A 23,018-nucleotide genomic window follows, 5' to 3' on the forward strand; every position below is an offset into this window, starting at 1 on the left:
TTATGGTAACACTTAGGCCTCATAGTAGTTCCAGGCAGCAGAGCTGAGGCTCTGGGAGTAGTCTAGCCAAGGCCATGGCAGTAGTCTGAGGTTCTGGGTTTTTACAATGTCATGCTGTCATGCTTACATTGGCTACAGAGGTCAGAGAGAAGCAGGGTGAGGAGGTCAAAGGAAGGTGGAAGAGGCCAGGAGAAGTGGCCAATCTCTGCCAGTCTCTACTGGGTGTCATGTGAGATCTGCAGCTTAGCATTTGGCATTGCAGTTTCCCAAGACTAAAGGGTCTGCTTATTTAACACATACACACCTCCTGAAAACACCAAAGCAGCTTCAAGGCCACTGCTCTTGGGCTGTTACTAAACTCCCTAGTGAACTCTTTTAGGCACAGTAGCCACTTGGGTGAAAGAAGGCAGCTACCCGCAAGCCAACTTGGATATCTGTTAGCACTGTAGGTCTGGCGGGCAAGTATTCATTAGGGTTCAAGATCTAGTTAGTCTGACTTGTACCAAGCAGATGTCCAGCTGGGGGCAGGGAGCACTTCTGGCCCACAACTGAGGAAATGGCACAGCAGTGATGCATGTAAGAGACATTAAGAGAGCAGAAACACTTGGCCAAGTCAGTTCACACTGGGTGTGTACTCTAAGGTTCTCGACAGCTAATCTACTCCAATTATCTAAAGCAAATGGAGTGTTCTTGGGATAATAATGTGTGCAATTACAGAATAAAACCTGACTGTTTAATATTAATTCCTTGCCTTTAGATCCTTGGTAAAAAGTGAAAACAAGAAGAAAAATATCTGTCTAAGGTTTTTCCAATGCTTTTTATTTCCTGTCCAATCTCCAATCCCAGGATACCGAAAGTGTCACAACATCATTTAGGATTCCTCGGTTTTTCATTTTATTCTATATTTATTTACACATTTTCTTAATTATTTTACAGATTCAAGGTAGAAATAAACTTTTTTTGTGTGATCCTCTTCCCTCACCACTCACCATCATCTTTGCCAAATTCACAGAATCTCTAAAGTTGTTTTGAGACGAATTTCTTAGCACTTAGTTTCATCCATCTGGATCGTTTAATGAGTGTTCCCTGAAAATTCAATTAGTCTCTGTTTGACTGGCTGTCAATTACTTCTGATTCTTCCTTGGTGCCTTATAAACAGCAGGTGATCAATGGATGTTTGTTAATATGGATTAAGTAGATATAAGATTAGAAGGAAATATACCAAAATTATAACTAATAATTTATCTAGGACTATGGTATGATTTTTCTTTTCACCTGACTATCTTCCAAAGCTTTCTATATGCTAAAATAAATAGTTGTTAAAATAAAATGTGAAATTGTATAGGCTGTAGAAATACAAGCCATTAATTAAATTTAGATCTTGGGATGTCCAATCTTAAAAGTTCATGACTCTTTCTTTAGTACCCATTGGAAATCTGAGTGTGGCCACTGTGTAGAGTGCAGGATAGGGTTGATTGCTCTAATAAGCAGAGATTCTCCAGCCAAGAGGAAAAAAAAAAACAAAAAACAAACCAAGAAACCTATGTTTCCATTTCAAAGCTTATCTATTCCAAAAGCACCGATTATAAAGCAGATCTGGGGCTACAATAACATTTGTGAATTCCAATCAAACATTCAAATGATTTTAGGAAAGTTCTGGAAAATAGTTAACTCCAAGCATGAATCAACTTGATTTCATCATGGTTATGACACTTTGTGCTACAAAAGGATGATATTTTCAGCTTCCCACCTTCCCAATGGCAGTCTTGATGGGAAGCTAGAAATCTTAACTGCTCAACGGGTTAAGTCTGTACTGCTTTGCTTGGATGAGCAGATGGCGTGGCAGGCAATATAAAAGTCACTTAAGATCTTTTCTTTAAGAAGGTTAGTACTTATCTTTGAAATCTTTAGACAACTTTAACCAAAATTTAAAGAATCTTATATTTTTGTAATAATTTCCACTTTTATTTTAGATTCAGGGGGTATATGTGCAGGTTTGTTATGTGAACATATTGTGTGATGCTGAGGTTTGGGGTATGATTGATCTTGTCACCCAGATAGTGAGCACAGTACCCAATGGTTAGTTTTCAACCCTCTCCCCTGACTCCCTTCCTTCCCCCTCTAGTAGTCCTCTGTGTCTATTGTTGCCATCTTTATGTTCAGGAGTACCCAATGTTTTGTTCCCACTTACAAGTGAGAACATGCAGTATTTGGTGATCTGTTTCTGCGTTTAACCAACTTTTAAAAATATTTTCTAGTCATCTCATCTGAAACAAAGAACAAATGTTTTTCCAACAAAGCATTGCACAGTGAGATCCAGAGGATGCGATAATAACACACTTCTAGGTAATTTATGCAAAGCCATGATAAACCCCAACAACATGAGAAAGAATCTTTCTTGAAGGTTCCATCTGTATCAGAAGCAGAATAAATTGAAGATATCATCTACAGGTATTTCAGAGTAAGCACTGAATTGGATCCTGTGGACAAATGTGGCCTAGACAGTTTCAAAATGAAAACTAATGGCCAGTGGGACCATGGAAGTTAATGTTATGACAGCAAAGCCCAAGCTACCACACGCAGCCTCAACATGCCTGTACTCACAAAGAGGATCTGGTGCTTGGCAGTCACTGCTCATTTCTATCTGTGATTGGGATACCTTTTACATTCCTTTCAACAGAGACATACTGTAAATTGCTGAAAAATTAGTTCTGAGAAGTTGGATACAAATCAGATTTGGGGGATCTCTACTGGGCACTGGCTTGGGGAAAGAGAACCAAAATCAGCGGATGTTTCTCACTCACCCTGGCCAGCATTACTCTTTCTTTGTCTTGGTGTCTGCTACCTTTTTAGTCCTGAAATCTTGCACATCTTACCTAAGGGTAAGCAAGGGTAGTGCCACCTTGTGACAAGTTTCATTTTTCTTAGTCTAAAACATTTCTTTTATTCTTTTGTGATCTAGGCAAGAGTTGAACAGAGCTGTTTTACTCTTCACCTGTTTGCTATGTAGGATATATAGACAGGGCTGGGATGCTGGCTGTTCGGGATAGAAACAGTAGAAAATAAACCAATTTGGCAGCACATCAGAATCGCGGGGAACATTAAGAATTCAGAATCCTAAACACCATGACTCAGTGATTCAGTTAGTCTGGACTGTGGCTCAACTGACTCCAAAGAAGCTTGGGCCATGGATTGGTATTGGGGATCTACTGATCTAGGTGAAATAGTGCCAAGTTAATAAAGCTTCCAGACTTGGTTTTCTTATTTTAATACAACATCTTATTTATTATAAGATGTCAAGATCTTGAGAGGAGAATAAAAGTTCACAGGACAGGATAACTAAGAAACACACGCAGATTCACACATGCGCACATACACACACACCGGCAAAACTGAAGGTAGGACAAGGTCACATTTGCAGAATTGCTTCTTCCCCAATTGTGTATTATGAGAGATGGTTGCTGTGGTGATGGGAAGAGGGCTAAACACGGAGGGCTTGTCACAGGGGCTGTAAACTGGCAAGGGCTTAACCTATAGAAATCTTGTTGAAATTATCTCTGCGAATTGGGTTGAGAGGCTGCCTCATCTAGTCTCCATCAGAGGCCCGTTGCATCTCTTCAGGTTCTATTAGTCACTCGTATTGGTTGTTTCTATCATCCTGAGGGGATCCCAAGCCTCTGCTACAAAGAGAGAATGTCCCACCCGACATCCTAGGATTCTTCCAGCTCTAAATTTATGAACCTATATGATGACTCTGGAGGATTTTTTATGGGCTATTTTTCTGCACAGGCCATGTGGGAAAAAAATTGGTACACATACTTTAAAGCATGCCCATAAATATATATAAAAAGTGAGCCACAGGAAGCGACACTCTGGTGTGGGCTGTGCAGGTACTCCTCTCTGCTGGAGCCTGCTGCGTCTCCTCCTCCACTTCCAGGGCTCTCCAAATGGGGCAGCAGGAAGTCTGCTTGTGAGGCTACATACCATTAAAACAAAGAGTTCTAGGTCTTTGAAGTGTACTGCCTACAGAAATATGTCTGAGATGTGTATTTTAATACATGAAAACATATTTGAACATTTGTGGAAAAGAATTAACCACAAATAGCAAAGTAAGTTTCATGTTTAATTAACTTCTGTTTTAATTCATCCTTTGAAGAAGTAGAGATAAAGAAAACTCAAAGAGGGAAGGAAGAAGTGAACAGGGCAGAAGCTGCCCCAAATGTCATAGCTAGAGGGGAAGGGACTGCCAAAATGGTGGCCCATTTACCAGGGATGAGAATTTAAGGCAGGATAAAAGATATAGAGTTGAGGATGAAAGAGAGAAAGGTCAACAAAAGTAAACTGCTATTTACACAAATAAGAAAAACAAAACTTTGACCATTCTACACTGATTTTTTAAAGATGTTTTTAGTAAAGGCACACAATTTCTTCTTTATAATAGTGTTCTTTGCAAGACAAGTAGAACGGATAATTAAGTCATGAACCAATCATATTAAGTATCCTCATTAACAGTGAAGTTTTAAATTAGCTTAATTTAAATTAGGCACTGAGCACAGGTCATTTAATGCTGGTTAACTTCACAGTAAAGATGATCTGCTCCTTGTAAAGAATCACATTTCATGGCCTGGAATTTAAAGACTGATGACAGAAATCAGCAGCAGCTTAGAATCCCTATTTTCATTTATTTAATAAGTTCCTGACTATTTAGGTAAGAATAACTCCATCTTCATATTATCATCAAGTTTAATGGGGTTGGAAATTGGTAAAAATATATCTTGGTGGTAACTTATGTTTCTTGGGAACACACTAAGAAATGGAGAAATAGTGAGATAAAGACTTTTTCCCCTTGCAAAAACATCACAACCACTGATGACACAAGATATAAGAAAATTATGGCCTGTGATGTGTGTAAACAGCTATTTTGTTGAAGAACACTGCCTGATGCTAACCTATCCCATGGAAATTGGTAACTACAAAACAGCTGTGTCCTAGACGCATAAAAAATTTATAGGAGTTAGATGTCAGCAGCATGAGGGCAAAAAAAAAAATGTTCTTGGTTTTTAAATATCACCAAAATTCTCATCTCAAATTATTTATTCTTTTAGATATTTAAAAGAGTCCATCCCAAGCCTCTAAGGGAATATGTAAAGGTGGAAAGGAACACGTCAACATCAGGTAACCCAAATAAAAATGCTCTACATTCTTTTAAAGAAATAGTTAACCTGTGAAAAACAGGTTAAACACAGGAAAAACTGTGCCACAGCCACAAGCCTGTCCTAGAACAAGGCTTTCTGAAAAATACAGGGATATTCAGAGGAAGGGAGGAAGGAACAAGCTATGACAGCTGAATGCCTATGTGATCTTTGCCATGAAGAACCGTCCTTGACCTAAACTTACTCAGCTCTGGAGACCAGGCTAGGCCAAGAGTGTAAGTGAGAGAATGAGGGCTCAGCTCACCATCCCCGGCAACATGTCTGGACTCCCCAATAGGACCCCAGTTCTGCTACCAGGAAAACCATCACAACAATGAAACTATCTCTGGAGAAAAACACTTTCTGTACAAATCAATTAGCAGGAGCTCTGGGAAAATAACATGCAGCAAAGTGTCCTCTACAATCAGTTTAAAGCTTATAAGGAAACGTATCTGAAAATGATGGAGGGAGAACTTCAAGCTCCCTCTGAAACACTCTTCAATGTTACTGGGGTCCAAATTAGGGAAGAAAAAGTGTGTCAGAGGAAGGTCCTATGGACTTCTATTCTGTGTCACTTCTTCTGGACAAGCACAGAAGTCTACTTCTCCTCACTGACTCTAAGGGAAGAGTCAACACATGCCTTATGGCGTAAGGCGAGAACTTGCTGGTACAGGCAGGCATGGGCTGATTCAAAGGCGCAGAAGAAGAAACAACATCTGAAGCTCTTATTTTACTCTAAAGCTCATGACCACCTCCTTTACAAATGCCCGTGGTGTGTGTCTTTGGCCATACCACTAACTCTCTTGGATAGGTCTCCAGCATTTCCACAAAGCCTGGGATTGGATGGTACCTGGAAGGACTGGGTCTCCTGGGCAGTCTGGAAGACTGGCGGTTCAAATCAACGCTCGCTGTGTATCTGGAGCATATGGGATGCACTAATCAGGAAGCTGTGTGATTACAGCTCATTGTCAGTAACATGGAGGAGCCTAACCAATCTGGAACTCAGCTTCTTCATCTATAAAACCAGGGGGCTATACTGCAGCTGTGAACCATTCTAAGAATACTAATGACACTAACTTGGTATGAGAAATGCTGTGCAGGTCACATTTTCTCAAATGTCATCTTATTGGATTGTCACAAAAATACCTCTACTTGGGCCTTAGCTCCATTTTCTAGATGGGGAAACTGAGGCTCAGAGAGACTACATGCCGCATCATGAATCAACAGCAAATTCAGGTCTTAGATCCAGGTCTTATGATTTAAGGTCCTATATTCCTCAAATTATGATGATTGCATTTTATATTGAATTTTATATTTCTGGCTGCAAAGTATTACTTTATAATATACATTATATTTCTATAAAAATAAGAAGTTTGATAATTTTGGTAAATTAAAATTGACATTGATTTGAAAGACTCCCTGTATGAGGTTGGGATGAGAGAGGAATGCAGGAATAAGAACTGTCATCTCTCTTGTCATTGTTGCTGTCTGGAAGGACCTGTGTAAGGGCGAGGCCTCCTCATCTGCTCTGTTCTGAGGGGTGAGGATGAAGGGAGGGGGATGACTGGTAGCTGAGGGGCACACCAACACCAACTACATGTGCTAGGATAGGGAAGATAGGAAAAACACGCAGGTATGTGCAGACGTGCATGCACACACACACACGCATGTGCACACAAATGCAAGCACATGCATGCACATATATATAGAATTCTAAGGTCCTGGGGCCCACCAACTAAAATTTCACAGAACTTTAGAATTTGTTTTGTACCCTTCACACAATATGCTGCGGTACTGCTGTCCTCATTTCATAAGATGGAATTTTCACAGCCATTTAGCAGCAGAACTAGCCTCAACCACAGACAGAAAATCCAAATTTGATTCCTCTCCCACTGCATGGGCCCTAAATTCAGCCCTCTGGGTTTCCTATCCTAATAGGAATCCCAGAATCTCAAGCTGCTCCAGGTATGGCAGCCCTTGAAGTTCTGCATCAGGGGATAGGCTGGTAAAGATGGACACTGAAAGCCTTTCTGTCTAGCCTCGTCTCTGAAAACCAGAGGGAAAGATGATGAGAGCTAATCAAGTTCCCATGGCCTCATATCCTCTCTTCTCTCAAAAGCAGAGAGTTTTCTCAAATGGAACAAAGCAATTTCTTTGCCAAGAAAGCTTTTATGTTCACCTTCAAAATAGCATTTCTGCTTTGCAAAGAGAGCCTTTCAGAGAGACAACTTGTTTGAAAGGAAGTAAATAAGAAGAGAGAAAGTGCCCGCAGCTCCAATTTTTCTCCAATAGGATTGTAGTGCTTTGACATAAGAGTACCTGGCAGCTGGAATTCCAGCTTCCTGTTCCCCTCCTTGAAACAGGCATGAGGAGGCTGCTGCAGATGGGGCAGAACGGCCCCTGGAGACAGTCTCTTCTGTGTAATTGAGCCCTCAACATTCTAACTGTGAAAAGGGAGAAACCACTGCAGCAGTCCCAGGCTTTATACAGGAATTCTCAGATGCTGGAGCAAACACACAAACATTAATTTCTGGATTATGTGGGTTCCTCAGCCAGCCTTACCCATGAGTAGCTCTCTTAATCTGAACACTTTCCCCACAAGCCTTTCTACATATTTCCTCTATTGCTCACCCCTCTGCTTTAAAATTCCTAATGTGAGGTGATGGAATAAAAGCCATTATTTAAAAAATCCCACTTGCCTGGACATAATTTACCAGGAAGCTCTCCAGTCCCTAGTTGGAGTCCAGGGAAAAGATCCAGTGTACTTTGGAGGGTACAGCAGTGTGTTAGCTAGGGTTCTCCAGAGAAAACTAGTAGGATAATGTGCACATATATATGTGTGTGTGTGTATAATACATCTATATCACATATATATATGACATATATATATATATGATATACATATCAGATGTTATAGATTCCAGTAAGATCCTGAAGGCCTGAGAACCAGGAATGCCAAGGGCAGAAGATCAAGGGCAGACTGATATCCCAGCACAAGCAGTCAAGTAAAGAGAGTGAATCCTCCCTTCTCCCACCTTTTTGTTCTATTCAGGCCCTCAATGGATTGGTGATGCCCACCTACTCTGGGGAGGGCCACTTGCTTTACTCAGTCTACCAATTCAATGCTCATCTCTTCCAGAAACACCCTTATACATACGCCCAGAAATCATGTTTAGCCAGCTATCTGGGCATCTCCCAACCCAGTCAGGTTGAGACATAATTTAGCTACCACAAGCAGAAAGATGGGGCATTCAGCTGTGGGCAGGTGCCAGGGTGAGGCTCTAGTGGACATTGCCAGGGCTTTCCCCAATCCCCTGGGTCTTTTTTCTGGTCTTCACCCCTGTCCAGGGGCCTGCACCAGCAGCTCGCAGCAGGACTGCGCTCAGCCTACCAGTTGCTCTGTCTGCACTCCCAGAGAGCTGCCACTACCTGGGGATTTACATCCCACACAATGCCCCTTGCCAATGACTGACTGGAGTGCCATGTGAAAAGCCCAGGACCCTGGCCTCAAGTGGTACAAATTCTAAGGATGAATCCAGCACTCCCTGTGGAATCAGGATGAAGCCACCCTCCACATGTCCCTGCTAGGCTCCTACTGTGCTCCGTTTCCTCCCCTCTCCTGCTTCTCCCACTCCATTACAGGTTTCTCCTGGGAGCACTTCCTCAATATACAACTTATTCCCAAATCCTCATCTCAAAGTCTGCTTGTGAAGACAGAGTTCCTCGCTGGTGAGGGCCAGGTGGAATGGGGCTTTTCCGATGAGGTACGAACAAAACAATCTCACCTGCTTTTCAATATTTTGCCACTCTTATACAGTAAAGGTGGGAATTATATTTTAGAATTTCGAATTCTCCATGCAGCTAGAGGAAAAACATCCCTTTCTAAAGACAGCAGCTTTGCTTACCAATGTATTTAATCATATTCATAGCCCAAGACCCATCTATTACTGTTGCCCAACACTGTGGGCAGTAGGGATGGTAATGTCTGATGTTTTTCTCAACAGTGATTGATATTATTTGCATAAATTTGTAGAGGCGCTTGTTACAAAGAAATAAAGTATCCACCTAAGCACTGCATGAAAATCAGCATAATATTAACCAAAAGGGGAAATGAAAAAGGAAAATGTCACCAGAAATTTTAGCTTATCAATCTTCATTCTTCCCCTTTAACACTGTTTCCACTGCTGCTTATATCACATTTGCATAATTAAATTGCTGGAAGCATGTGTGTTAATTTGGATGGAAAGTATATATTATTTCTACTGTGTAAAAATTATTTGATGTTTGATTGGGTTTTTAATGCTCACCCTTCAAATTACTGAAGAGAGAAAAATAGTTTTATTTTTGTCCTTTTTTTCCCCAACCTATTTGACCAAGAGGTGTTCAGATATTGTTAGAAGGTAACAAGTACAAAATTAAGGCCAAGCTAATGCAAATACAGGCCTCTAGGAGAGAAGGTGGGAAGGGGGAGGCAGGTGCCTAGGCAAGGTTATCCATGGTTCTGGGGCCTTGTTTTGGCTTTGCCATGCACTGGCTATGTGACCTTGGGTGGGGGTCATTTCTCCTTTGCATTCATTCATTTGTTCATTTGAGAAACATCTACTCTTGTCTACTCTGGGCCAAAAAGGAATTAACTAGATCAGCACTATCTAATATAGTAGTTACTAGTCACATGTAGCTATTTAAATTTAAGTAAAAATTGATAAAAATTAAAATCCAGTTCCTCAACAGTATGAGACACATCTGGAGTGCTCAATAGCCATTTATGGCCAGGAGCTACTATAATGGACAGGACAGATATGAACATTTTCATCATTGTAGAAAGTTCTGGAGAGTACTGAACTAGACGATCTCCAAAGGTTCTTTCGTCTCTGATGTGCTATGATTTAAAATGATGTGAAAATAAGCCCAGGTTCATAATGGTAACCACTCTCAGTGTTAAGCTGAAGTTTCTGTCACTTTATAAACATTCTCTGACATTCTGTGGGAATCTTATATGGAAATGGATGGGGTTGGGGTGGACACACAGGGGACAAAGGAGCAAGTTTCTCCTCCTGAAGTGTCCAGCTGAGGAGACGAACATATGTACAAACAGGATATCTGAGGATGGGGGTAAGAGAATGACTCCCAAGCTGGATATAGAGCCATCTTCCTCAAATATCCAAATGGAAGTCCAGCTGTGTGCCATCTCACGGCTGGGAGCATCTCAGGACAGTGACATAACTGGTATTCCATCTTGATTAAGAAGCTACGATGTTCTCTAATGTGTGAGCTAATAATCGTCCACTAAACACTGCAGCTATACCATCAAGATGTTAAGACTTTTGCAGTTCATGTTTCAGAATAAACAGCAAGGGAGGAACACAGACTGATATAGGATTTACCTATATAGCCAGGCCCTGTGATGGTATGATAGTTTATATTATTTTCCAACAAATATTCACTTCGGCTTGACCATGTGACTTTTTACTTCAGGGTGGATAAAGATACTTCCTACCTCCTTGATTTTACACTCAACCATGAGACTTGATTTAGCTAATGGGATGTGAGTGGATACAATGGCAGCAGAGGCTTGGAATGCATTTTGAATGGTTGGGTTTGGACTTTTGTGCTTCTGCTGCAGCTCTGAAAAGATCTTGCCCTGACCCACTGGCCTTGAATAATGGAGCAGTGCTAAATCCAACCTGTGGGCTGGTAGGATGCAGCCAACCTGTAAAGGTAAAGACCAAGGGAAAAGAACAAGAAGGGTAGAGAACAAGGGAAATGAAGAGCTCGGGGCTGCAGCCTGCAATCAAGAAACCAGGGCAAGTGGCTTGATGGCAGCCACATTTGGTCCTACAGGCTCCAAACCAGAAAGCCCTGCTAAGCATCCCCACGGAGACCCCATTCCTACAGCTTACTTTCCTATGAAGGGTGATATTCATCCCTCAGAGGAGCAACACAAATAGTCAAATGAATGGCAATAATATACTTTAGAATTTCTAATATTAAGAAATGAAATGGAACATGAAGCATCTATAAAATGGTCTCACAAAGTCAAAAAGGAGCTTCCTGAACTAATTATAACAAATTTTACTATATTAAAAGCCAATGCAGCACATTTCAGCAGACGAGTCAATTGAAGTGATTTTGGGGTGAAAAAATTTTAAATACAGTTTATGATAAGAACTGGAATAAACTGCCATAATGGTTTAATAAGTTTCCCTCACTCCTTTTAAGTTCTTGGCTGGTGTTGAGTACAGAAGCATATGGGGAGAGTAAATTAATGAGTTGAGGGTTTGGAATCAAGCTTGTCTATGAGTTTTCATGCATAGCAACAGGCAAACACACCCAATCATATCAAAAATGCACAGCCATGAGCCACTTCACAGTTTCCGGAGAGAGATCAGAATGGAGAGGAAAAGGGCTGCCTGGAAGGCTAACAGACTTGCACTATAATCTAATGCTTCCATCTTGAATTTCCATTGAGCCCAAAGTTTCTAATCTATTTTTCTTGTCTATGTTACAATAAAAGCTGATTTAGAGGCCTTTAATAATTAGGGTGTTGCTACTGTTATTAGAACTAAAGTCATATAGGAAATACACAAGCACCTACTGCCTAAATAGACCAATAACAAGTTCTGGAATTGAGGTTGTAATAAATAGCCTACCAACCAAAAAAAGCCCAGGACCAGATAGATTCACAGCTGAATTCTACCAGACGTATAAGGAAGAGGTGGTACTATTTCTACTGAAACTATTCCAAAAAATTGAAAAGGACAGACTCCTCCCTAACTCATTCTATGAGGCCAGCATCATCCTGATACCAAAACCTGGCAGAGATACAACACAAAACGAAAACTTTAGGCCAATATCCCCGATGAACACCGATGTAAAAATCCTCAATAAAATACTGGCAAACCGAATCCAGCAGCACATCAAAAAGCTTATCCACCATGATCAAGTTGGCTTTATCCCCAGGAAGCGAGGTTGGTTCAACATATGCAAATCAATAAATGTGATTCACCACATAAACAGAACTAAAGACAAAAACCACATGATTATCTTAACAGATGCAGAAAAGACCTTTGATAAAATTAAACATCCCTTCATGTTAAAAACTCCCAATAAACTAAGTATTGAAGGAACATACCTCAAAATAATAAAAGCCATATATGACAAACCCACAGACAATATCATACTGAATGGGCAAAAGCTGAAAGCATTCCCCTTGAAAACCAGCACAAGATAAGGATGCCCTCTCTCACCACTCCTATTCAAGATAGTATTAGAAGTTTTGGCCAGGGCAATCAGGCAAGAGAAGAAAATAAAGGGTATTCAAATAGGAAAAGAGAAAGTCAAACTATCTTTGTTCACAGAAGACATGATCCTATATCTAGAAAATGCCATTGTCTCAGCCCAAAAACTTTTTTTTTTTTTTTTTTTTTTTTTTTGAGATGGAGTCTTGCTCTGTCACCCAAGCTGGAGTGCAGTGGCACAATCTCGGCTCACTGCAGCCTCTGCCTCCCGGGTTCCAGTGATTCTCCTGCCTCAGTCTCCTGGGTAGCTGGGATTATAGGCACACGCCACCACGCCTGGCTAATTTTTGTATTTTTAGTAGAGAGGGGTTTCACCATGTTGGCCAGGCTGGTCTCGAACTCCTGACCTCAGGCAATCCGCCTGCCTTGGCCTCCCAAAGTGCTGGGATTACAGGCGTGAGCCACCACGCCTGACCAATGATACTCTCAAAAACTTCTTAAGTTGATAAGCAACTTCAGCAAAATCTCAGGATACAAAATCAATGTGCAAAAATCGCTAGTATTCCTATACACCAACAACAGACAAGCCAAGAGCCAAATCATGAATGAACTCCCATTCACAATTGCTACAAAAAGAATAAAATACCCAGCAATAGAGCTAACAAGAGAAGTGAAGAACCTTTTCAAGGAGAAGTAAAAACCACCGCTCAAATAAATCAAAGAGAACATGAACAAATGAAGAAGCATTCCATGCTCATGGATAGGAAGAATCAATATTGTGAAAATGGCCATCTCAATGCAATTCCCATTAAATTAGCAATGACATTCTTCACAGAATTAGAAGTAACTATTTTAAAATTCAAATGGAACCAAAAAGAACCCAAATAGCCAAAACAATTCTAAACCAAAAGAACAAAGCTGGAGGCATCATGCTACCTGACTTCAAACTACACTACAAGGCTGCAGTAACAAAAACAGCATGGTACTGGTACAAGAACAGACATAAACCAATGGAACAGAATAGAGAACTCAAAAACAAGACCACACACCTACAACCATTTGATCTTCGACAAACTTGACAAAAACAAGCAGTGGGGAAAGGATTCCCTATTTAATAAATGGTGCTGGAAGAACTGGCTAGCTACATATACAGAAAATTAAAACTGGACCTTTTCCTTACACCATATACAAAAATTAACTCAAGATGGATTAAAGACTTAAATATAAAACCCAAAACTACAAAAACCTTGGAAGAAAATCTAGGCAATACTATCTGGACATAGGCATGGGCAAAGATTTCATCATGAAAACACCAAAAGCAACTGCAACAAAAGCAAAAATTGCCCGGGTGAGGTGGCTCACACCTGTAATCCCAGCACTTTGGAAGGCTGAGGTGGGTGGATCACTTGAGGTCAGGAGTTTGAGACCGGCCTGGCCAAAATGGTGAAACTGTGTCTCTACTAAAAGTACAAAAAATTAGCCAGGTATGGTGGCACACACCTATAGTCCCAGCTACTCAGGAGGCTGAGGCATGAGAAATGCTTAAACTCGGGGGGCAAAGGTTGCAGTGAGCCGCGGTCATGATATTGTACTCCATCCTGGGTAACAGAGCAAGACTCTGTCTCAAAAAAAAAAAAAAAAAAAAAGGCAAAAATTGACAAATGGGATCTAATTAAAGAGCTTCTGCACAAAAAAAGAAACTATAATCAGAGTGACCTGACAACCTACAGAATGGGAAAAAAATTTTTCAATGTATCCATCTGACAAAGGTCTAATATCCAGAGTCTACAAGGAACTTGAGTTTACAAGAAAAAAACAACTGCACCAAAAAGTGGGCAAAGGACATGAACAGACACTTTTCAAAAGAACACATACATGCAGCCAACAAATATGAAAAAAAGCCCAACATCACTGATCATTAGAGAAATGCAAATCAAAACCACGAGATACCGTCTCATGCCAGTCAGCATGGCTATTATTAAAAAGTCAAAAAACAACAGATGCTGATGAGATTGCAGAGAAAAAGGAACACTTTTACACTGTTGGTGGGAGTGTAATTTAGTTCAACCATTGTGGATGACAGCGTGGCAATTCCTCAAAGACCTAGAGGCAGAAATACCATTTGACCCAGCAATCCCATTACTGGATATATACCCAAAGGAATATAAATCATTTTGTTATAAAGATACATGCATGTGTATGTTCACTGCAGCACCATTCACAATAGCAAAGACATGGAATCAACCTAAATACTCAACAATGATAGACTGGATAAAGAAAATGTGGTACATATACACAATGGAATACTATGCAGCCATAAAAAGGAATGAGATCATGTCCTTTGCAAGGACATGGATGGAGTTGCAAGCCATTATCCTCAGAAAACTAATGCAGAAAGAGAAAACTAAACACTGCATGTTCTCACTTGTAAGTGGGAGCTGAATGATGAGAACATATGGACACATAGTGGGGAACCACACACAGTGGGGCCTGTTAGAGGTTGGGGGTGGCGGGAAGGAGAGCATCAGGAAGAATAGCTAATAGATGCTGGGCTTAATACCTAGGTGACAAGATGATCTATGCAGCAAACCACTATGGCACACATTTACCTATGTAAAAAACCTGCACATCCTGCACATGTACACATGAAAATATAAGTTGAAGAAAAGTAAAATAAATTAAAAAATGTACAAAACAAAGTCATGAATGCTACAATGGGAGTAGCACAGACATTATCTGCCCCCAGTGGGTAAAGGCTATAAACCAAGACTTGCATACAGAGCAGGAATTTGCAGGGGGGAGGTGAGGACAGGGGCTGGTGTTGGGAGATAACACTGTTCTAGGTAGAGGGAAGAGCCCAAAGGTACAGCCAAGCAGGAAGACTGATAGGGCCAGAACAGGTGGGTGCAGAGTATAAGGACAGGATGCGTGAGAGGCAACAACAGAGAGATAACGCAGAAGTCAAGAAGGACTTCGTAAGCCACACTCAAGACTCCCGGCTTCATCTGAGGGCAGGAGGAACCCGCTGGCTGGGCTTTAAGCAGGGCAGTATGGAGCTTTCATGAGGTGCTCAGTAAACATTGACTGAGCGTTTCACCTAGTGCACTGAGAACCTGGCAAATGATCTGTGGGGCTGTCTTTTCTTCTCACCTCTTCCACGACCCACCACTCATGCTGGGCCACATTGCAACATCCAGGACTTATTTTTACTTGCTTTTTGGAAGTTCCTATTGTCTCCTCATATTTGTCTCACAAGGAACCCTAGGTTTCCTCTTCAACAATATCAATGCTATCCTTTTTGGCATACTGCAGTTCTTGCTTTCCCTTCTCTGCAGAAAGTGAGCTCGGCACTGGCTCAGTGCTCCCACCAGTGTCCAGACTGGAATGCCTGGAGAGCAAGAGGTAAGTCAGACCGAGGCAGGTATGAGGAGGAACGGACAGAGGGAGGGAGGCTGAAAGGGGTATGGAGAAAGAATTCTGCCATTTAATTCTTTTAGAATTAGTTTAATATTTTCAAGTTTTTGGTTTATGTTAATTTTCATTGGGAACTACTTTTCATAATAACTGCACAATTAATAAGACATACATTTGTGTGCTGTGGAAAATAAGTCTGAAGTAAAAGTAATTGAAAAAGAAGACAGCAAGCAGAGATATTCTATCTTTGAGCTCTCTTTTTCTGAAATAATTCCTTTAAAAATATTTTCCAAGTATTCTTAAGTATAAAGCATTTAACATGACAAGAGTATGAGTCAGTCATTTGGATTTGAGGGCTTGGTCACATATAGACTCGGTGCTTTTGCTGATGAGCTTCAAACTTTTCTAATGGCTTAAAAATAATCTACAATACATGGAGTCATTACTCAGGATTTATCTTCAAAGAACTCCAATTACAGAATTTAGTCACTGGAATCCCCCCTTTTTAGACATAGGAACAAATATTCAGGAAAAAAAAAACCCACATAGGATTCATAAGTAAAGATTTATACCTTTTTCTGAATAAAGCAGGCACTAAATAAAAGTGCCGTCGCTGCAGCTCTAGCTGAGTTCAAAGGCGCATTGCAGCAGCTTTAAAGTTTATTCCAATAATCAACTCAGTCCAAAGTTAGACATGTGCTAACTAGACTTGTCATGTGTATATTGCTTTTAAGTCTTTAGCATGTGAAATGTCTTTTCATTTTTGGAAAAAAATCATAAAATAAAGAATTATTTTGTTGGAAATTAACTTCATAGTCTAAAAAGCAAAACCAGACAGGCCACAACATTCCAGCAAGTAAACAAGACAGATGTTTTGTGCTCCAGCTCTCAAAAATCATGAGATAGTCAAGATTCTCCCAGATCAGGTTCAGATTTGTCTTGCCAACTTCATTTCTTCCTCCTCTTCCCTTTCATGCATGCAACACCCTATCTAACACTTCCTTTCCTCTCTTATATATATATGGTTCTCCCTTTCCTGCCACCATACTCATCCTCACGTGATTCCTCCTATCTGGAATGCTCTTCCTGCCACATCTGCATGATCAAATCGTGCACACGTTTGCAAACTCATCTCGGATACCACCTTGTCTAAGAAACTCGCCATAGTGTCTCCAGACAAAAGGAGTCTCTCCTTCTGTGCATGGGCCACTTCTTATCCCACATCGTGTCATCTACTCTGGGCCCACTGAGGGCAAGGTAACCCTTAGTATATTGCTTTATTTACAAGAAGCATCAGTACCTGTTACTTGTATGCGCAATAAGGTATTAGGAAGATATAAGCAGGCAGATTTCCTGATTTAATAAGCTTAAAAAGTACATGGACCACTAGGCACAGTGGCTCATGCCTGTAACCCCAGCACCTTGGGAGCCTGAGGCAGGTGGATCACCTGAGGTCAGGAGTTCGAGACCATCCTGGCCAATATGGTGAAACCCTGTCTCTACTAAAAATACAAAAAATTAGCCAGGTGTGGTGGCATGCATCTGTAGTCCCAGCTGCTTGGGAGGCTGAGGCAGGAGAATCGCTTGAACCTGGGAGGTGGAGGTTGCAGTGAGCTGAGATTACACCATTGCACTCCAGCCTAGGCAAAAAAGTAACTCTGTCTCAAAAAAAAAAAAAAAAAAAAAAAAAAGTACATGGACCAAGAGGTGGCAAAAAGAATAAGATTTCAAATGTGAAAGGATGAAGTTTTGACACAGGCGTAGCATTCACCTCCAGCAAACACAATTCAGCATTTCTGTGTGTCTAGGACAAGGTGTACTGGGGAACAAGGTAAAGGCTGTCATTTAGTGTGTGCCCACCAAGTGCAGGGTTTGTGCAAGGGCTTTATTGACACTGATTTCTGTCTCAAAACAACTCTAGAATGCCCCTATTATTATCCTGGCTTTACAGAGGAGGGATGGGGGCCAGAGAGGATGAGTGAGCTCAGAGAGGCCCAAACAGCTAAAAATCCTTCTGCCTCCAAAGTCCTACACCCTTTATGCTGCCTAAGAACTTTCCAAAAGAGATAAATATAACTGAGCACATACACTAAGCCCCAGTAAAACGCGAGTAAATGTAAGACTTCTTTGAGTACGATTAGTTTTATAGCAGGAAAAATCAAAAGAGGTTAACAGAAGTCCTTTATATCTGCATAACACATCATACTTCCAAGGAACTTCCATATTTATGAATTTACAGACGTATCAGATTTGATAAAATCTGATTTAGTAAAAAATGAACAAACACGGTTTGGCTGCACCTCGCCAGAGTGGACCAGAGTCCTTAATTCTTAGCTTCTGGGAGACTCAGAAAGCCCAGAGACTCCAGAGAAGTGAATGTCTTCTGTAATGTCACTTAGAACCAGGTCTCCAAGAGACCCAAGGAACCAAAGCATCCTTATAAAGCTGTGGGCTAAGTGGTTTATTCTTCCCCAAGTCAGCCTCTGAGACACTGGTCCAAACAGAAATGGGGTTGGTGAAGCCCTCCAGTCTGAAGTGATGCATTCTGAGCACATCTGGAAGACCAGAGGATCTCTAGGCTCGGGCCATACTAAAGGTCACATAAGGTAGATGGCTGAACTCCTACTGAATTCACCATATGCCCCCATTCCCTATTTATCATTCACAGAGCTGGCTTTTCTCACACCACAAATATCCATCTATCCTTCCATTCATATCTCATATAACTCCTGGAAGGCAGTCATAGACTCTTGTGATTTGACCAGTAATAGACTTGTGATTCAGCATTTCCTGAATAACATATGATCAGAAACAGCAGGTTTCTAGGGACATCCTTAAGGAAACCTGACAACCTAGGTTGGTTCAGGAGAGCTGGCCTCTAGGTCCATTTGACTTGGAATGACAAAAGCCAAACTTCTCTACCCTCTAGTCTTATGCCTAAGTCTTCCTCAGGGACCAGCATAAAACTGTTCCATGCACCAATACTCAACATTTTATGGGCAGACGCATGAGAGGGGCCTTTAGGAGTAGCAGTGGTAGCAGAATTACTACGAGTAGTCATAATAAAAAACAGTTTCTAAATCCCTGCCCCTCCTGTAGAACTGAACTCTAGAAAAGGCAAAGTAGGGCAAAAATAGTGTCTTTTCCACCCTCATTCCATTTGTCAAATATAAACATAAAACTCTGATTTCCCCTTGGGGTTCTGGCCACACACATACGGCATGTAAGTTCCTCTTTGGAGGGGTCTTGCTATATGAAATGCAGAATCCAAGGTATTTTATTCCTACTTTCAATGAAATAGCTTAATTTTTCTATAAATAATTTTTCCCCTATAAATATCACCATAGCACCACTATGAAGGCCGCACACATCTTTCTGAAAAAGAAGATGAAGATTATTTTGTCCATCTTGCCATTATTAATGTGAATATAAATTCTCTGTGCTATTTCATTGGTGTATTTTCCAGGAACACAGTATATATTCTATAATTTAATACTATGATAAATGTGATTTGTGAAAGTCATTTATTCACGAACAGACCTTTCCATATTTTATGTAAACTTGCTATTCGTTATATTTAACATTCTCATATTTAACCTCAGAAGATACTAAAAGTGTAAGTTGAAAAAATAGTCTTATAAAATCCTTACTTAACTGTCTCTGTCTTCTCAGCAGAGGGGTAGCATGTTCTTGATCTTTTGCTTTTGATTTTGTTCTTGTATTTTGAGTCATAAGCCTTTTTAAGTGTAGGACAAAAGTTATGGATCTCTTCTCCAGAAAAACATACACAAACAGAAACACAAGGTTTTCATATAACTAATTTTATTTCATTGGAAGTTTATTACCTTCACATAAACAGAAATAATCTTTATAAAGAATTATATATCTTTTGCTATCTTTTTAATGTTTATTATGTGTAAACCAAAAAGTAATGCTGCTTAAAAAAAACTACAATTTGACGGCTTGCCTAAGAAGGTGAAATTGTGGTTTACTGTTTGACAGCCAGGAGTGTGTGGGTGTGTTTTAATAATAACCAAAGTTACTTGTATCCAGCAACTCCAGAATCATCTAGACTTTGCAGTGAACTCACGGTTTACTCTTAACTGTCTTTCCTAAGTGTCATTGTGTTTGGCAAGGTCTGACTCACTGGGGTAGCCTCTGCCATCAGAGAAGAGATACAGAAATCCAAGTATCCATCCTAACACAGGAGCAGGAGTAGCCTTCACAGGAGTCAGCTGGTGTTGCCAGAAATGTGCAGATTTCTTTTTGGAGAGAAATTAACAAGGCTTTGTCCTTCTGGAGACCAACCTTCAGGTTCTCTTCTTCCAGCACAGGGAAGTTCACAAGACAACTGCTTCTACCAACCTCTTCTAGAATGAAAGTAAAGGATGTCTCAGAAGCATCAATAAAAGGGACTACAGGACCTTGTAATAAAAGATTTCTCTCATTCATGTGGCAGAAATTGAAACAAAACCTCTAAGCATGTCAGGTGATAAACTTCTCCCTGGCAGACTGCTCTGAGAATGGCTTTCCTTTCCACTCCACACTGAAGCACGTAGGACGGAAGATAAGTCAAGTCTTGTAAGAGTCGTTTTCTGGAAAGCCAGCAAACTTCTGGGTAGCACAGAACTTTACACCCAGCAGTATGACTTGATATACCCCCTGAAAAAGCTGGTGATTCAAGGCCTTGGTTCTCCTCAAAGGTAACTCACCACAGAGGGAAATATGACTTCTGTGGGATTGGTAGTGGATGGCCTAGTGCCAGAGCATGTGAGACAGACATTAATGGGGTTTCCTTATTCACAAAAAGTTAAACCAGGAGCTGACTGCAACAACATGCACCTGATGGACAAAACCCACAGGCTGGTTTCTGAGGAATACACCAGGAATTTTACAAAAATGCTGCAGAAGTAAAGTGGCATAATTGCCAATCTCTCCAGAGTACATTCTGAAATACTGAAAATTAGAACCTCCAGGGATTCCACAGTGGTTGGTATTTGAGAGGGCACTGCTTCATCTTTTCTCTTCTTATTCAAGATACAAATTGTAGCACTCCACCCCTGGCCTCTCCAAAATGCTGTAAGAGCCTCACTGGCTGCTTAAAGATGAGGCTTTCTCCTTGGGACAAATCCAAGTTTCTGCCTTTCCAAATGGAGCCATCTTCTCACAGAGAAGATCCATATGCCTGGTGAGTCTCCAAGCAAGATGGGAAGAAGGTGCTCCCTTTCCCATCTTGTCTTCTGTGTCCAGCATCAGACACCCAAGGGACTTCTATGGTCATCCCATCCACAGGGTGGAAGATCTGACCTTCCCCCTGTCTAGGTCATCTGCTTCTAGGACTGCATTCTCATCAGGGTGATACTGCTTCCACATGGGTGAAAACTGGTTCAGCAAGTGGGACTAAAGCTTACATATTACAGTGGTTTGTGCCAAAGGACAATACATAAACAGACACAGTCTATATTAAAATTGCATAGATAGAGGTAGTCAGGGAAAATAAGTCAAAAAAGGTTCCTTAAGGTGCATGTGAAAAAAAGGTTGAGCAACACTGCTATAATGTATTTGAAGGAGGGAGCTTGGAGTGTCTCCACTCTGTTTCTATGCTATCTGGCCATGGCCTCATACTCTTCACTTGACCGCAGGCTTCCTCTGACTTGGCTCCTGGTTACCAGCTGGACTAGAGGATGACTGGTGCCCCTTCCTGCTCCTCCACAAATGCTACAACCATCATTGTAGCTACAGAGGAATGGTAAGGGTCACATACACCTACACTGTCCTTGACAAGAGTACACACGGCTTCCCCCTCCTTTATCTTTAAGGCACCACTGACTAGTACTTATTACAGAATTTACTGATAGTATTAGAAGGGATTTGCAATTCATAAAAGAAAACTTAAATCTCTGCATCAAGTTCTGATGTTCTCATGGAGGAATTAGCCATATCCCACTGCTGGGGGCCCCCTGTCAACCTACTGCTTTCCTTGTTCCCTTCATATTGCTGGGAACTGCAATATCTCTTTCAGTTATGAGCTGCTTCTCCTCATGCTCTCAGTCCTGTCCCATGATCAGAACTCTGGTCACCAAGAAGCAGCCAAAAATAGTAAACACCATACTAACTTCCCCTCCCAGGACAGTCACTTTTTGATTTGCCCAGCAGAGCAGCTGAGATCCTCTTTGCTTAACTTCTTCCCTTGGACTACGTTCCCAGCCTCATCTCTGCAGAGCTCAAAGCCCAAACAGGAGAGTGCGTGGCTTGCAGGAAGGCAGATGATTCAGAGGGCCTAACTAGGTTCAGTTAACAGGGAAGCGTGAACCTTCAAGGTCAAACAAGGCCAATTCACAAAAAAAGCAGGGCACATGCATTTTTTAATCTTAAGCAAAAGAGAGCAGTACCATCTTCCACCCAATTGGGTGTCAGAACAGTCAGTACCCATGGACCTGAGAATCTGCCTCTTGCCTTCCCCTCCCCAGCCTTTACTCTACTGGACTTGCTTTCAAAGCCAGCTGTATGTGGTAGCCTTCCTTTCTGGACTTGGGAAATCTAAGAAACAATTTGACTTTGGCCTGTTCCAGGATACTGTCTCCTGCCTACTATGTAGAAATGTTAAGCTTTGGTACCCGTTGCTCCTGGGTCTCCCCATCTTAGAACCCTCTCTGGAATTCAGATTTCTGTTGACTCTTAGAACAAGCAGGAACTGATTCCACTAAGCATTGACCTACCTCACCAACTACAGACCAGATTAATCTCTATTCAGAGGGCCAGTGATATAGACACAAATTTGTATTAAAATATTTTAACATTCTGGAGCAGTAGAACGTTAACATAAAGCCAATAATGACTAAAGTAGGTTGGGTGTGGTGGCTCATGCCTGTAATTTCAGCATTTTGGGAAGGGGAGAGGATTTCTGGAGCCCCAGAGTTCAAGACCACCCTGGGCAACATAGCGAGAGCCCATTTCTACAAAAATTTTTTTAAAAATTAGCTGAGTGTGGTAGCTCATGACTGTAGTCCTAGCTCCTCAGTAGGATGAGGCAGGAGGATCACCTGAGCCCAGGAGTTCAAGGTTACAGTCAGCTACGATTATGCCACTGCACTCCAGACTGGGTAATGGAGCAAGACCCTTTCTCTAATAAATAATAATAATAATAATAATTACAATTACTACTACTACTACT

The 23,018-nt window shown here is 41.1% G+C and overlaps 1 protein-coding gene across 6 annotated transcripts in view; it reads right to left on the minus strand.

Annotated features, from left to right (window-relative positions):
- The window catches only part of ULK4 (unc-51 like kinase 4), a 715,505-nt gene that overhangs the window by 84,099 nt on the left and 608,388 nt on the right, over positions 1-23,018 (minus strand). Inside the window, exon 36 of one of the 6 annotated variants that reach the window (NM_001322500.2) lies at positions 19,706-20,214. The exons of the other annotated variants lie outside the window; for them this stretch is intronic. Within the exon in view, the coding sequence (NP_001309429.1) occupies positions 20,185-20,214 (30 nt within the window). The 3' untranslated portion in view covers positions 19,706-20,184. Of the gene's footprint in view, positions 1-19,705; positions 20,215-23,018 lie in introns of those variants that run through there. 6 annotated transcript variants of the gene reach the window in all.

The sequence above is a fragment of the Homo sapiens genome, chromosome 3, assembly GCF_000001405.40.
Source record: "Homo sapiens chromosome 3, GRCh38.p14 Primary Assembly".
NCBI classification, from domain to species: domain Eukaryota; kingdom Metazoa; phylum Chordata; class Mammalia; order Primates; family Hominidae; genus Homo; species Homo sapiens.